The following is a 17,960-nucleotide window of genomic DNA, read 5'->3' as shown; positions in this document are numbered from 1 at the left end:
TCCATAATACCAGTCAAAATCTTCTGGGGAAATAGTACTTTTTCTCCAAAGTGTCAAGGTATATGAGCACCTGTTAAGGATCTTATTCTGGGAAATGGGGAGTAGGGAGAAGGAACACCTGGTCAAACGGCCAGGTGAATCACCCTTGTATGAATTAAAGAACTGAACAATATAAAGGAGAACTTGTGGTTTCACCGTTTATGACCCTGACAACCTTTACCTGGAAATTTCACCATTGATTTTGGACTGTCAGATATTTTGTATAAATGCACTTTAAAATGTAGAATTAAAAACTCTAAGACTTTTTTTCATTATATCCCCCTTTCTCCAAACAATCATATGTTTGATATAATATTATAGAAATACACATCATATGTGGAGACTGTTTCATTGTCGTTGCCAGTCTGTTTTGTGTAATGGGGCACTGACAGAACAGCTCGGGCTCTAATTGCAAGGGTAAAAAGTTATTCACATTTTTAATGCAGTGTTTATGACTATTTGGCACTCCTCTTTATATTAGTTCTAGAATTAGAATGGGTATTTTAAAGACTATCTATGGAGAAGGATGGTTGCTCTTTCTTGTTTTTTAATTAAATCAAGTAATTCTTTGTTAGGAATTCTTCTGGGTCCTGCCAAAATAAAATTGTATCATTTTGACAAGATGCAGAAGTGGCACCGATAGTTATTAAAAGCACCAAAGCATTAACCTTTAACAACCTCATTTTTCACTTGGAATACACATTTAAGTATTTTATCAAGCTGAAATCAAACACTAAAAATAGAGTGAAAAATTGACCCATTCTCTTTAGCCTAAAAAGAATAAATGTGATCAAGAGTAAGGGCATTAGTATAAAGAGGGTGTTCATAGTTGTTTTAGTGTCAATTAATGTTATCCTATTCACTTATGGTTGGTGTAACTTAAGTGTCAGGGAATTATTTTAGAAATATTCACTACAATTATCAGTTAGTCATCAGTATTTCAAGATTATAGAACACAAAAAATTAGCCAGGCATGGTAGCATGCACCTGTGGTCTCAGCTACTCAAGAAGCTGAAGTAGGAGGGTCACTTGAGCTTGGGAGGCAGAGGCTGCAGTGAGCTGAGATCACGCCACTGCACTCCAACCTAGGTAACAGAGTGGCACCCCCATCTCAAAAAAAAAAAAAGAAAGAAAGAAAATAAGAACAAAGTTTAAAGAATTTGTAGTACCAATAACTGATTTATTATGCATTACATAAGAACTCTAGATTCACGAATTTTCAGATCAGAGTATTGAGATAGCAGACCCCCAATGACAAATTTAATTTAGTTCAATTTACACCTATTCACAACACACCTCAATAGTAGATTCTCAACAACTACTACTGACTACCCCAAACCTCTTGCCACATGACTACACCCCAGGCACTTCACTGGCCACTAAAGGAACACAGAGATGAATGCAACATAAGTCCTTTCCATGTGGGAAGACATGTATACAAGGAATACTACACAGGATAGAACACGATAATATGCGTGAGCCACCACACTGGCCTGCAACATGATTTTGAATGTTGCTCCTGGTTGCACAAGTGTAACCTGATTCTCCAGTCTTCCTAATAATTCTGTAGGAAACCCAATATCCTTAAAATAAATAATCCTTCACTCAAATCCACCAGAATTTATTTCTACAGCTAGCAACAAAACAATGTTGGAAGATGCAGCAACTAATAACTAATAAGTACTTGGCTTTTCTTCTGTCATATTTCCACATGTTGCCCAGCCCAGAGTATTAAGCAGGACGCTCTATCACATATCACAGCAATGATCCCCAAACCTGGCTGGACATCAGAATCAAATTTGGGAGCTTTCAAATTCAAAATAAGAGTATTTGACCAAGGGGCCCAAAGAGCACCATTCATTCATTCTATTTATTGAGTTCCTGCTTATTTTTAGGCACTCTGCAGGTGCTAGGGATCAATGGTAAAAAAAAAAAAAAAATTGTTGTCTCTACTGGAAATGACTGCCTTGTGGGAAAAGAGAAAGTAATCTCCCAAGCACCTTGATGAATATGTAATTATAAATGAAATAAATATTTTTAAAAAACACAACTAAAAATAAATATTTTAAAAACACAACTTTGTGTTTTTTTAATTAACAATTTGTGTAATTTTAATTAATAATCAACCTCTAGATCCACAAGAAACGTTTTTCTACAATTGATCTTCCTGATAATATGCTTATATTCATAAAAGTCTTTCTCCTACTTTCCAAAATAAATGCATACCTCTCATCCAACCCAAACCTTAACATGCTACTTTCCCCTAGGTTATGCCTCCAGAGTATCAGACAAGAGCATACCTGAAAATACTGGTTTGGAAGAAATCTCCCTTAACAATGAACCAAAGCACCTAATCCATAGGGCTTTCTATCTTTTTTATAAGGCTTGGCATTAGAGATTGGGCATTTTGGTCCACATTGCACATGAATTCAGAACAGATAAAGCAAGTATATTTGTCAGGATTATTCTTTTCAATATAAATGGAATATTTTGTGGGACTCCCAAATTTTTTCAGATGCACTGACTAAAATCTGTAAATACATGGTGTGCTTTATTCAATTAGGCATTAAAACCAAATTTATCAAATCATATAATTAAATGTTTATTCCAGTTAGTCAATTCTCATCTTATAAAATGTTTATTTTCTACTTAATATTAACAAAAATTAAAATTATTTAAATGTTTGCTGAAAAATCATTGAGGACAACTTAAAAATTATCAATAGATGTCAGGTACAGTGGCTAATGCCTGTAATCCCAGCACTTTGGGAGGCTGGGGTAGAAGGTTCACTTGAGGTCAGCAGTTCAAGAACAGGCTGGTCAACATAGTGAGATCTAGTCTCTACAAGAAAATTTTAAAAATTAGCCAGACATGGTGGCATATGTCTATACTCTCAACTACTCAGAAAGTTGAGGAGGGAGGATCACTTGAGCCCAGGAGGTTGAGGCTGCAATGAGCTATAATCACACCACTGCACTCCAGCCTGGGCAACACAGCGAGGCCCTTTCTAAAAAAACTATATACACATACACACACACACACACACACACACACACACACACGTATATATACATATATATACACATATATATACATATATACACATATATATACATATATACACATATATACATATATATACACATATATACACATATATATGTAGATATGTATTTTTTCAAGATTCTTGTAGAGAGTACACAAATACAAATGTGTAAGGAAGCGGTCATGCTCATCACTGAGTGTGAACAGTGACAGTAGTTTTATTTGACAAGCACTATTATTTAAAGTTTGTTTAATCTAAATGTCTTCAGGAAATGGGGATAGGGAGGAGCATGCTTTCTTGAATTCATCTTCACCACAGAGCCTGCCACTCCCTATTATTAGCACTTAGCTCAATAAACTTATTTATAATACCTGTATGCACCCCACCCCTCACCTTGGTCCTTTGAGTTTACAATTCCCATAAGGGAATAGTGTGCCTTTGTAATAATACAGGAAGGTAATTGTTGAGAGACAATTCTCCAAGTGTCTTACACATTTCTGCACTTACTTCCCTTTATTCATACTACCTTTTCAAAGATGTTTGAACAGCAAACAGCCCTCAAAGATGACATAGTGTCTCCCTCCATACCAAAAGGGAGACATGCTCACTAGCCTTAGGAAAAAGATTCAGGTTTCCTAAGCTCTGGATTTCTCTCCTGTCACAAACCCACTACATGTGCTTGTGTCACCTAGCCCCACTTTACATCATCCTCTGGTAATTATGGATTGGGGAACCAGTGCGAAAGTGCTGATACTCTGGCTATTGCTACTGTAGAGGGTGTAAACCAAAAGTATCTAAGATGGGTCTCAATCAATTTAGGAAGTTTATTTTGCCAAGGTTAAGGACACACCCATGACAGCCTCAGGAGATCCTAACGACATGTGCCCAAGATGGTCAGGGTACAGCTTGGTTTTATATTTTTTAGAAATGCATGAGACATCAATCAATACATGTAAGATGTACATTGGTTTGGTCCAGAAAGGTGGAACAACTAGAAGCAGGGGCTTCCAGGTCACGGGTAGATTTAAAGATTTTCTGATTGGTTGAAAGAGTTATTATCAATAGAAAGGAATGCCTGGGTTATGCTAAGGGGTTCTGAAAACCAAGGTTTATCATGCAGATGAGGCATCCAGATAGCAGGCTTCAAAGAGAATAAGCTGTAAATGTTTCTTATCAAACTTAAAGAGTGTGTTCTATCAGTAATTTCAAAAGGGAAAGGGGTATAATGAGGCATGTCTGGCTCCCCGTTACAATCATGGCCTGAACTAGTTTTTCAGGTTAACTTTGGAATACCCTTGCTAAGAGGAGGGTCCATTCAGATGGTGGGGGGCTTAGAATTTTATTTTTGGTTTACAAGAGTAATACATTTCCCTTAGTCTCTGCTTCAAGAGTTTCAAATATGGTTCCCTCTAATCTTTTTAAGTGGTCTTTGTCCAGCCTCATGCAGTTTTCTCACCTGCTTGTGCTCAAGCAAGTACCCATATATGAGTGTCTCCTTACAGTTTGTTGTCTAAGTATCTCCCTTGCCTCATCCTAAACCCAGCTCCGTCCATATCTCCAGAGCTCACTCTCTCTCTCTCACTCATTCTTGCTTTCTGTCTTGGTCTCACTGAAGCTTTTTCCTCTCTGGTACTCTGACTTGTGAACTCTGGGATGCCTGGGCCTCCCTCAGACCCCCAGTTTCTTCTCAACTCAGGGAGACCACTAGGCTCTGCCTGTGTAGCTCCTCTCCATGCCGTGCCCGGAATCTCTCTCTAGGTTGTCAATTGGGCAATCACAGGCCTCACCTTGTTTGTTTCCCCTCTCAGGATCACTTTCCAGTGCTACCTGATACACACTGTCTTGAAAATCATTGTTGCACATATATTTTGTGCAATTTTTTAGTTGGTTCAAAACAATTAAGCAGGCAGGAGGATAAATCAAGTCCTGGTTACCCCATTTTGGCTGAAGGTTGGAAGCAGAGGTCTTATGTTTTGATGGCATGTTTTGCTGTCCTTTTTTCTCTCTCTCACTCTCTCTCTTTTTCTGAGACAGGGTCTCACTCTGTCACCTAGGCTGGAGTGCAGTGGCAAGATCATAGCTCTGCAGTAGCAAACTCCTAGACTCAAGTGATCCTCCCTTCTCAGTCTCCTGAGTAGCTGGGACTACAGGTACTCACCACTGCACCTGGCTTACTGTCCATTTTAAGGCACAAAAGATGTTTAGTGGATGTTGGTACTTGGGCTGTCCAAAGCATAAGGCTCTAACAGTCTCAGACAGATGAACTGCCTTTAAGAGGTGCGGTTGCTACATGGCACTTTGGGCAGAGACTTCCCAGGAATCTGGACGGATACCTGTACAGAGTAAGGTGATATCTGTGGTAATGCCTGAAGAGTATCAGAGCAGGACTCATGCTTCCAGTACTATGGTCAGTTTTTCTACTTCTGCCTCACCATAGGATTGTTTTCATTGAGGTTTTTTTTTTTTTTTTTTTTTTGAGACAGAGTCTCATTCCGTTGATGAGGCTGGAATGCAGCAGCACGATCTCAGCTCACTGCAAACTCTGCCTCCTGGGTTCAAGTGATTCTCATGACTCAGCCTCCTGAGTAGCTGGGACTACAGGCATGCACCACCATGCCCAGCTAATTTTTGTATTTTTAGTAGAGACAGGGTTTTGGCATGTTGGCCAGGCTGGTCTTGAACTCCTGACCTCAAGTGATCTGCCCACCTCGGCCTCCTAAAGTGCCAGGATTACAGGCATGAGCCACTGTGCCCGACTGAGTCATTTCCTTTTTTTTTTTGAGATGGAGGCTCGCTCTGTCACCCAGACTAGAGTGCAGTGGTGTGATCTCAGCTCACTGCAACCTCCACCTCCAGGGTTCTATCGATTGTCCTGCCTCAGCCTCCCGAGTCACTGACACTACAGGCATGCAACACCATGCCTGGGTAATTTTTGTAGTTTTCATAGAGACAGGGTTTCACCATGTTGGTCAGGCTGGTCTTGAACTCCTGACCGTAGATGATCCACCCTGCCTCAGCCTCCCAAAGTGCTGAGATTACAGGCATGAGCCACTGCACCCAGCCATCATTTCTTAATAAACTGACACGTTCCACAGCTTAATTTTCTGTACTGTTTAATTTTGCAATCATCCCAAACAGACTGGTACAATCTATTTATGGTCCAGGCACTATAATTGTTTTTTTCTACATATTGCCTCTTTAGTTTTCACAAGCACCACATTACACAGGTACTGTGTTATTCTCATTTTACAGACGAGGAAACTGAGGCTCAGAAAAGTTAAATGACTTTTCCATCATCACATAGCTGGTAGGTGTGTTTACAATTAAAATGTATACACTTCTAACCTCATGTAATGGTTCAAGAAGAAATAAATTTACACGGGAGATAAACTGGACTATTCTTCTCAAAACACTGATCACAATATGTATGGCCATATGACCACAGGAAAGAAAGGGGCCTAACATGGAAATCATAATCCTCATGTTCTAGGAGTAACCTGTTGGGACTTCTTGACTTGTCCTTGAACATGGCCCATCTCATACAAGAGACCATCGAAAGAACTGGCAGAGTGAGTGCTACCAGGGGCAGAACAATGGCATAAATGTAAGACTAGCATTTAGGTCTCATCTACTGGGACATGCAACCATCCGTCAGGGAGAAGACCATGAAAATGGGCAAAAAGGAGTAGCTAGAGACAGAATTCCATGTGTATCTTGCAAATCCCAAAAGGCCAAGGAACTGCCCCATTAATTTTTAGCTCGATAAACCAAGTCAAGTTTCATAAAGGTATTCAAAACTACTAACTGAGTTAGAGGGGTTTAAACCTAGAATGAATCTCTGTTCCATGAGAGTGATAGAGTTTCAGAGGATACTTGCTTATCCAAGATATGCTAGAAAAAGCATTTCTTCAATAACTAAACATAGGAAGATAAAAGATCTTTAGACTCTGTGAAGAAATTCTCTGAGAGAGATCGCACTGAAGTCCCAAGGAAACACAAACATAAATAATCTCAGTAAATGGCTCAGTTGTGTTGTCTACAGCTTAAGCATACATTGTATTTCTTTCTCCTAGATAATTCAGAATTTTTTTTTCTTTTTTGAGACAGAGTCTTGCTCTATCACCCAGCCTGGAGTGATCACAGCTAACTGCAGCCCTGACCTCCAGGGCTCAAGCAATCCTCATCTCAGCCTCTCGAGTAGCTGGGGACGACAGGTGTGTGCCACCACGCCCAGCTTTTTTTTTTTCCCCTTAGAGATAGGGGTCTTCCTACCTTGCCCAGACTGGTCTCAAACTCCTAGTCTCAAGTGATCCCCGCACTTAGCCTCCCAAAGTGTTAGGATTACTGGCGTGTGCCACTACACCTGGCCTAAAATAATTGTTTAACAATTGAATTGAATTTCCACTACTCTTCCATCGATTATATTATATATTATTCCTTGAGTGAATTTTAAATGGCTAAGAAAATCTGATTAAATATTCCATATGTCAATGGTCGTTTAAATTTCAATGAATATACTAAACAACAATAATGTTGAATGAAATTAGTAATACTTTAAACTTTTAATAAAACTGTGTAAATTAATTACTTAAATGGTTAATGTTCTGAAAGTAAAGCTTAATGGGACATTTTTAAAAAGTAAATACCAGGGGAATCTTCTGGCAGGAAATCAAGAATAAAATCAATTCAAAGAAGTTCTGTTATTTTAATATGAGTAATATTACTGATAAGATGGCATAACAGCAGATTTTTATCATATAGTTTTTAAGGAATATCTGAACTGAAAATTTGAATCTCTTTTGGTCAAGGATGCCTTCTCTTTTTTAAATTCATACTAATTTAATAGTTGATTAGTATGAGTGAACTTACGATTATCACATTTGAAGAACATTTTAGAAAGTTTTAAAACACACCAATACCCTTTACTAGTAGTCATTTCATAAAATATTGTGAAGAATAAATGAGCAAATACCTGTAAATGCTTATCAGATGCCTAAGACATATAAAGTGTTCAATAAATGTTCATTATTGTTGTGATTGTTATTATTTAAGACATTTTTGTGCTTTTTGGTTGGAGATAGTAGGTTTAAGTTTTGTTACTACTTACTACTTTCATCTTATTTAACAAAGACGTGTCATCAAATCAAATTCACCAAAGAATCCCTATAGCACATTTTATGTTTTATTTTATTTCCTTATTTTACAGAGAGAGTCTTGCTGTGTCACCCAGGTAAGTGTGCAGTGGTGCAATCATAGCTCACTGCAACCTGGAACTCCTAGCCTCAAGCAATCCTCCTGCCTCAGCCTTCCCAGTAGCTACCACACCACCATGCCCAGTTACTCTTATGTATAGTTTTTTGCAGAGGCAGGGCCTTTGCTATATTGCCCAGGCTGGTCTCAAATTCCTGGCCTCAAGCAATTCTTCTGCCTTGGCTTACAGAGGCATATTGGGATTACAGGCATGAGCCACTGCACCTCGCCTTACGGCATGTTTTACAGGGAAAAACAATGTCTAGTGATACTTGAAAAATGTTCACATTGTTTAGAAATTACATTATAATTATAAACCTTTATTAAAAACATATGCAACCTTGCAAATGGAAAAGCAGAAGCCTTGGCATCAGTCCAGTAGAGAAATTTGACTATACCACCACTATGAACCCATCCAGGAGTAACAAAGCTAACGTATAACCTTGCCAGTACTTCTCACACATACACAAACCACTCACAAATTTTTAAAAAGAAACGAAAAAAAATAAAGTAAGCATGCTTATCTAACCCAACTTTCCAATTTATTAAAAATTGAAGCCACTCTCTTCCTGGGAATTGTGGTTTATATTGTGTACAGAATTTTAAGATTTAGTGTATCTCTGGCTTTTGCCTTCACTCTCTCTTCAAGTCACCTATCTTCCACACTCATATTTATGGATGTTCTAAGGAATGCATCACATGTGACAACAAAAATGACTGGTCAAAAATTATCTGGAATTCTTGTTGTTTAGCCTCGTCTATCTCACTAAAATAGTGATCTCTACTCGCTACCTTCTACTGCATGGGACTGCCTTTGTTAAGCACCAGTGCCACATCAGGTGGATATCACCCTATCCACGAAATACCATATCCCTAGGTCCACTGCCACCTTCTTTGAGTGGGTACCATGACTAATTCCCAAAGGTCTCACTCTCTTCCACCTCTAGTACCACAATCTGCCTTTAAGAAGCTGAGCCATGCTACAGAAAATGTAAAATCATAGGGATTGTGCTATGACAAAAGTATAATTTCTAATTTTAGTTAGACCCTTAACACCCCTCATCAATCTTTAACCATTGTTACCTCTCCTTCTATAGCAGATTGCAAAAATGGCCATGCATTGCTCCCCCTCCCCCCTCCCCCTCCCCCTCCCTCTCCCTCTCCCCACGGTCTCCCTCTCCCTCTCTTTCCACGGTCTCCCTCTGATGCTGAGCCGAAGCTGGACTGTACTGCTGCCATCTCGGCTCACTGCAACCTCCCTGCCTGCTTCTCCTGCATCAGCCTGCCGAGTGCCTGCGATTGCAGGTGCGCGCCGCCACGCCCGACTGGTTTTCGTATTTTTTTGGTGGAGACGGGGTTTCGCTGTGTTGGCCGGGCTGGTCTCCAGCTCCTAACCGCGAGTGATCTGCCAGCGTCCACCTCCCGAGGTGCCGGGATTGCAGACGGAGTCTGGTTCACTCAGTGCTCAATGGTGCCCAGGCTGGAGTGCAGTGGCGTGATCTCGGCTCGCTACAACCTCCACCTCCCAGCCGCCTGCCCTGGCCTCCCAAAGTGCCGAGATTGCAGCCTCTGCCCAGCCGCCACCCCGTCTGGGAAGTGAGGAGCATCTCTGCCTGGCCGCCCATCATCTGGGATGTGAGGAGCCCCTCTGCCTGGCTGCCCAGTCTGGGAAGTGAGGAGCGCCTCTTCCCGGCCGCCATCCTGTCTAGGAAGTGAGGAGCGTCTCTGCCCTGCTGCCCATCGTCTGAGATGTGGGGAGCGCCTCTGCCCCTCCGCCTCGTCTGGGATGTGAGGAGCGCCTCTGCCCGGCCGCGACCCCGTCTGGGAGGTGAGGAGCGTCTCTGCCCGGCCACCCCATCTGAGAAGTGAGGAGCCCCTCCGCCCGGCAGCCGCCCTGTCTGGGAAGTGAGGAGCGTCTCCGCCTGGCAGCCTCCCCGTCCGGGAGGTGGGGGGCAGCCCCCGCCCGGCCAGCCGCCCCTTCCGGGAGGGAGGCGGTGGGGAGGGGGGGCAGCCCTCGCCCGCCAGCCGCCCCGTCCAGGAGGGAGGCGGGGGCGGCAGCCCCCGCCCGGCCAGCCTCCCCGTCCGGGAGGTGGGGGGCGCCTCTGCCCAGCTGCCCCTTCTGGGAAGTGAGGAGCCCCTCTGCCCGGCCACCACCTCGTCTGGGAGGTGTACCCAACAGCTCATTGAGAATGGGCCATGATGACGATGGCGGTTTTGTCGAATAGAAAAGGGGGAAATGTGGGGAAAAGATAGAGAAATCAGATTGTTGCTGTGTCTGTGTAGAAAGAAGTAGACATAGGAGACTCCATTTTGTTCTGTACTAAGAAAAATTCTTCTGCCTTGGGATGCTGTTGATCTATGACCTTACCCCAACCCGGTGCTCTCTGAAACATGTGCTGTGTCCACTCAGGGTTAAATGGATTAAGGGCGGTGCAAGATGTGCTTTGTTAAACAGATGCTTGAAGGCAGCATGCTCATTAAGAGTCATCACCACTCCCTAATCTCAAGTACCCAGGGACACAAACACTGCGGAAGGCCGCAGGGTCCTCTGCCTAGGAAAACCAGAGACCTTTGTTCACTTGTTTATCTGCTGACCTTCCCTCCACTATTGTCCTATGACCCTGCCAAATCCCCCTCTGCAAGAAACACCCAAGAATGATCAATTAAAAAAAATAAAAAAAGACCTTGGGAAATACAATTCTAAGTCTTAACATTTTGCATATGTTGTTAAATGTCCACGATTCATAGCAAATGAGATCTATTTACTGGGAGTAATCTTCCCGATATGGCCATCTAAACTTGGTTCTCCATCAGATATATTCTTGGGAAATTACAATTGTTTTTTCCAACAAGTAGACACTTGTTTACCTTCTAGGTTTGTGGAAGGCATGAAGTCCTTTAATAGTACCATTTTTTTTTTCTTATTTAATATTTACTGTCATATATGTTTGCATGATTAAAAGGAGGCATTAAAAAAAAATGGCCATGCATTCTTTCCCTGCCCTAAAGAAGTGGGATTTATTTCTCCACACCATGCTTCTTAAAGTAGGGGATTTGAAATAATAATAATAATAATAAATATTTCACTACTTTTTGAATGCAGGTTGACCACAGGATTTGCTTTGGCCAATGAAACATTTTGGCATATATGAGCAAGCAGAGATTTAAAAAACAGTTGCATGTTGGAACTTAGAATGATCTCGTAATCCTGTAGCCATGTGAACAAGCCGGGGCTAGCCTGATACAGGATGAGAGACACAGGATTCAGTCACCCTCATCACCACAGTTGACAGCCAGCCTACCACCAGACAGACATGTGAGTGAATCATTCCAGGACCAACTAGACTCAGCCAACCAACAAATCACAAACCAGAATCAGATGAACCTGACCCAGACCAAAACTATCCAGCAGGTTCATGAACAAAATAAATGGTTTTTGTTTCAAGCCACTACGTTTTGGAGTAGTTTATTATGCAACAATAGATTAATGATACACCCTCTGACTCCCTTCAGTAATTATTCTAAACATTTGCATCATTCAGTGACTGCTCCTACTCTCATCCTTAGCACCTAACTTTATCTCCTTTTTTGATGGGTAAAACAGACACACTAAACTTCCCACACTTTCCTAACAGCACACTATAGCATAGTGGTAAAGAGAACTGCTTTTGAAGCCAGATTCCCTGCTCTTCTCTTGGCTCTGAGCACATAGAAGCTGTAAGACCTAGAGAAAATTACACAACTTCACTGCATCTCATGTTTCTTCTCTGTAAAAGTAGGGATAATGATAATATCTACCTCATAGAGCTGTTGCGAGAATTATAAATGAAGAGTTTAGATCATTATATTGTATACAGTGAATGCTATGTAAACTATTATTTTTATTGTGCACTGGCCAGTGATCCAGAGCTTAATGTTTTTAACAGTTTTACTTACATACCATACTTACATGTAAGTAAATACTTATATATAATATATATGTTATATATATATAAAATATATATATGTAAATAAATACTTATATATTCACATATTATGAAATTCACACATTTAAACTATATGTTTCAGACCAGACGCAGTGGCTCATGCCTGTAATCCCAGCAATTTGGGAGGCCGAAGCAAGTGGATCATCTGAGATCAGGAGTTCGAGACCAGCCTGGCTAACATGGAAATTTCATCTCTACTAAAAATACAAAAAATTAGCCAAGCATGGCAGCACGTGCCTGTAGTCCCAGCTACTTGGGAGGCTGAGCCAGGAGAATTGCTTGAACCTGGGAGGTGGAGGTTGCAGTGAGCCAAGATCACACCACTGCACTCCAGCCTGGGCAACAGAGTGAGAGGATCTCAAAATATATATATAAATAAATAAAATAAAGTACATGATAAAATATACGTTTCAGTGTTTTTTAATATATTCAGAGTTGTACAACCATCACCACTATCTAATTTTAGAGAATTTTTATCAACCCAAACACACCTTGATTTTGAGACCTGAAGTCCTAAGGTGGATCTGAGACAACTCCTTGGGAAAAGGCCAAGAATACAACAGGGAAGATCAAATATGAATGCTGGTCCGATGAACAAGAGCAGAACTGTAAACAAGAGATGAAGCCAAGAATCAGAGTCAGATGGTAATATGGTTAGATATATTTTAACTAATAGTGAAAAGCGGGAGAGGATAGGACACAAGCAGCATCAGACCGTCTACAGCTAACATTATCATGTATGCCAGACTGACTTAAAGATGTGGAATCAGGGGAAGCTCCTCACTCCCCACATTCAGGTCTACCCTGCCAAGGCTGGCAAATCAAGGGTTTGCCCCAGATCTTTGCCCTCTAAAAGGTCCTAACATATCTTGGTATGCCTTAGTCAAGTTTCTTTGGGTTACAAGTATAACCTTCAAACATCCCCCAAGTTCGGAATCAAGGGGATTGCTTTTCTCTTTAATGTTCTATTAACATAGTCTTTTTTATTGTTGTTTTGTTTTTTGAGTCAGGGTCTCACCTCTAACACCCAGGCTAGAGTGCAGTGGCATGATCATAGTTCACTGCAGCTTCAATTTCCTGGGCTCAAGCGATCCTCCCACCTCAGCCTCCCTAGTAGCTGGGACCACAAGCACACACCACCACACCCAGCTAATTGTTAAATATTTTGTAGAGACAGAGTCTCTCTATGTTGCCCAGGTTCTGTTAACACAGTCTAAGCCCTCATCTTATGTAACTTCGGGGAGTTTTGTCTACTCCCCAAGCATTTCTAAGACTCCCTGGGAAATGTTTACATCTTCCACAAACATATTCTTACTGTTTCCTGCCATCTCTTACTCCAGACGACTTCTTTGTTTCTCACAATATCTCTTCCTACTCTCTCAAAGTCATTTCTCCATCCTACCAGAGGTATCCCCTTAATACCTTACCCCAAGTATAGACATAGACATCTCCCTAAAATCCCAAAGTGCAGGAAATGTTAGGCTATACTGTTATAAATTTAACTGCTGACTTCAAGATAAAAGAACTACAATAACACAGGAAAGATGATTATTTAAAACAAAACACAGCTATCATTACTCTAGAATCTACTGGCCATACTTGACCCCAGAGGGTTTCTCAGCAGTCATCTTTCCCTTTACCCTTCAGTTGGTCACAGAATTATAGAATACAGCTTCCCTCTCAAGGTCAGGACTACAGCAGCAGAAGTCCCTTCAATGCTGTCTTTTCCTCCCCAAACCATAGTTTATCTTTCTCACAGACCCAGCCAGAGAAAAGTCTGTCCTTCTCTACCTATGGGCCACATTTCTTCCTTGAGGATGATTGACAGTGGGAACATGCATTGTATTCAGGAAAGCACTCCTATTTCCTGCCATGCAAAGCATGATATGGACCCTGGCTCCAGGAAGCCAATACATTATAGTTGACAGTACAGTTCCCAAAGTCTGATTTATTCAGCCTTAACTAGGACCATGTTGTTCACTGACTGTCCTGCTTAGGCACTGCTATGACAGACACAGTATAGTTCCTTTTCACACACTGTCCTCCAGGTTACAGTGAAAAGGACTTCAGATCTGCATGCTTCTCTTCTGGTCTGTTCTTCCAATCTCTTTTGAGGGATTTTTTTGTTTGTTCATTTCTTTTTAGACAAAGTCCCATTCTGTCACCCAGGCTAGAGTACAGTGGTGCAATCTTGGCTCACTCCGCCTCCCAGATTCAAGCAATTCGCCTGCCTCAGCCTCCCAAGTAGCTGGGACTACAGATGTGCGCCACCACGCCCGGATAATTTTTGTATTTTTGGTAGAGATGGGGTTTTGCCATGTTGGCCAGGCTGGTCTTGAACTCCTGGCCTCAAGTGATCTACCTGCCTCACTCAGCCTCCCAAAGTGCTGAGATTACAGGCATGAGCCACTGCGCCTGTCCTGAGCAAATATTTAAACCAAAAATACACACAACTCCCAAAGAAAATAATGATTATAGTCTGTCATAGAGCAGCCTAAGTCTGGAATTTGAAGAAAACAATCAACTTTGTAGGCAGCCAGTTCTGTAAAAGATGAAATTGCAGGCAAAAGATGCACATAATTCATACTACTAACCCAAACATGTATCTAAAATGGAGGCATATTAATTTGTTGTCTATCACTGTGTCAGGGCCCTCCCCAAAACATTAAATAGTATTATTTTTCACTCAATGATATGGTTTGGATTTGCGTCCCCGCCCAAATCTCATGTCAAATTGTAATCCCCAGTGTTGGAGGAGGAGCCTGGTGGGAGGTGACTATATCATGGGGGCAGATTTTCTCCTTGCTGTTCTCATGCTAGTGAGTGAGTTCTCACAAAATCTCATTGTTCAAAAGTGTGTAACACCTTCCCGTTCTCTCCCTTCCTCCTGCTCCAGCCATGAAAGACATGCCTCCTTCCTCTTTGCCTTCTGCCATGATTGTAAGTTTCCTGAGGCCCCCCCAGCCATGCTTCCTGTACAGCCAGCAGAACCGTGAGCCAATTAAACCTCTTTTCTTTATAAATTACCCAGTCTCAGGTAATTCTTTATAGCAATGTGAGAACAGACTAATACACTCAACATCTCCAAGACTAAAACAGGTGACTAAAATACCTATATACAATTCCAAGCATCATTATTCAATACAGATATAACCTACAGTCCTTAAAATGACAATCTTTCTAGCTCAGGTGATTTGTCCATGTCTACTTTGACCAGCTGTGACCAGAGGACAGGATAATACAAGCTCACAGTCCCTTAAATATACTTCCAAAATCCAAAAATATATTAAAATTCAAAGCTTTTTTATAACTCATTTGGCAGCAAACTGACTACCTCACATTATATACAAAAATTAACTCAAAATGGATAAGAAGCCTAAATGTACAAACTAAAACTATAAGACTCTGAGAAAGTAATGTTTAGCCTAGGGGTTTTCAAATGGGGGCTTGTTTGCCCACTACAAAATATTTGGTAATTTTGTGAGACATGTTTATTGTCATGGCTGGAAGAAAATGCCACTAGCATCTAGTGAGTAGAGGGTAGAGATGGTGTTAAACATCTTTAGATGCACAAAACAGACCCCACAACATGGAATTGTTAGGTCTAAAGTGTCAGTATTGCTGGGGTTGAGAAATTCTACTTTAATCTCTAACATTTCTTCATTCACTCCACTGGTTCTCATCTATTTTGCTCCAAATCTTTCACAAGCATGCTGAAAAATTTTGATCAATATGTAAAAATGTGTGCAGTGGAGTCACAAATTTACTTTTAGCACATAGATGTGCAAAGAAATTTTAGCTGATTTCCTATAACAAATGTGCTTTTTCTTGTGAGCCCCCATACCCACTCCATTAGGTGATATGGGGAAAAAACCCCTAGCTTTTAATTGAGTCTGATAAATTTGGTCTGGTTAAGTAATTGAACTGTCTCTTAAGGTGAATAGGATTCTTATGTATGATTTAGTCTTTCAGATTTCCCTCTCTTTTCCCTGCTTTAATCTGTGATGGAGTGTGGATGTTTGGTGTTGAGGGTGAAGAGTGCCCCTCTGTCTCAACCCAACCCTAGCCTTGTGGAGGTGTTGCTGGTCAGAATCCATTCCTGGGCTAGTTTGCTCCATCCTCTCTAGGCTCACTGAGGATCTGGCAAACCTCCCTCATCATACTGGCGATGGTGGTGGTAAAGATCTCATACCTCCCCAGAGCTGTACCACCCATGTTGTTCCATGTTTAGACAATGCTCCTTGGAGTCCTCAGCTCCAGGACCACTTTGGCACCTCCTGAAGTTGCAGTGAACTCCTCTGGTAAGATCCCTAGCCAAATTCTCAGCTACCATTCTCATGTCTGTAGAGCCTGTGAGACCCTCTGGGTGTCTACCATGTTGGTATCACCATTTTTCCTTTTATGTGGTGGCAGCAGCAGTGATGGTCATGGGGGTAGCTGGCAAGGAGTCTTTCTCTTTTAATTAAAATTAGACACAGATAGCAGACTTTTTGTTTAAAAAGAAATCTAGCTGAGTTGTTGGTTTTAGTTTTCCCCCCGGGTATGTGAAAGAAGCAGGAAGAGCCAACAGTCTTCTTTTGGTTTGAAAAGGAAATGCTATAATACCCTTTTTGAGTAACAATTATATCATTTTTACTTAGGCAAATATAATGTTATTATCATTAAGCAATCAATGAAAGATGTAGATGACTTTTAACCATTAAAAAACTTTATTTTTTAAGAGAAGTTTTAAGTTCACAGCAAAACTGAGAAAGAATAGAAAGTTCCCATATACTCCCTGTCATTTCATTTACAGAAATCAACCTTATATGTATATATTAGTTTCCTAGGATTCCTATAACAAATTACCACTGTGTGGCTTAAAACAACAAAAATTTATTCTCTCACAGTTATAGAGACCAAAAGTCTGAAATCAGGGTGTCAGCAGGGTTTGTTACTTTGGAGTTTCTGATGGAATTCATTCCATGCCTCTCTCCTAGCTTCTGATGGCTAGAGGAAATCCTTCACATTCTTTGGCTTATAGACACCACTCCAGTCTCTGCCTCCATCTTTACATGACATTCTCTCCTGTGTGTCCCTGTGTCTTCTTCTTTTGTTTCATAAGAACATCTGTCGTTGGATTTACAGCCCACTCTAATCCAGGATGAGTTCATTTCGAGATCCCTTCCTTAATTATATCTTCAAAGACCTTTTTTCCAAATAAGGCCACATTCACAGGTACTAGGAGTTATAGCTTGGACACATCTTTTAGGGAAACACAATTCAATCTACTACAATGTGTATTTAAACCTTTTAGAAAATAGGGAACTCAATTAAAATTTATTACCAGGACAAGAAATTATCAAGACAACCAATCAGAATTACAGAATTTTAGATATTAAAGGTTACTTTCAGAGGCCACAGCAACAATCTCTGAAGTCATAGTGTCTTACAAGACTCTTAATTAAAATTAATATTTACAAGGAGAATTTTATGATACAAACTAGTATCTATTTACTGACCTTCTTGGAGAAGACTAAACATTTCTCCTTATCTTGTTAGTATTTCTTTCACCATAATTATGAAGGCCTTTGGTTTTTCAAGCCTAAGTCCTAGAAAACCAGCCATTAATTGGCATCAATATGGGAAAAAACCAGCTC

This window comes from Homo sapiens, chromosome 1 (genome assembly GCF_000001405.40).
Source record: "Homo sapiens chromosome 1, GRCh38.p14 Primary Assembly".
Classification (NCBI taxonomy): Eukaryota; Metazoa; Chordata; class Mammalia; order Primates; family Hominidae; genus Homo; species Homo sapiens.
Note: the sequence above shows the minus strand (reverse complement) of the source record.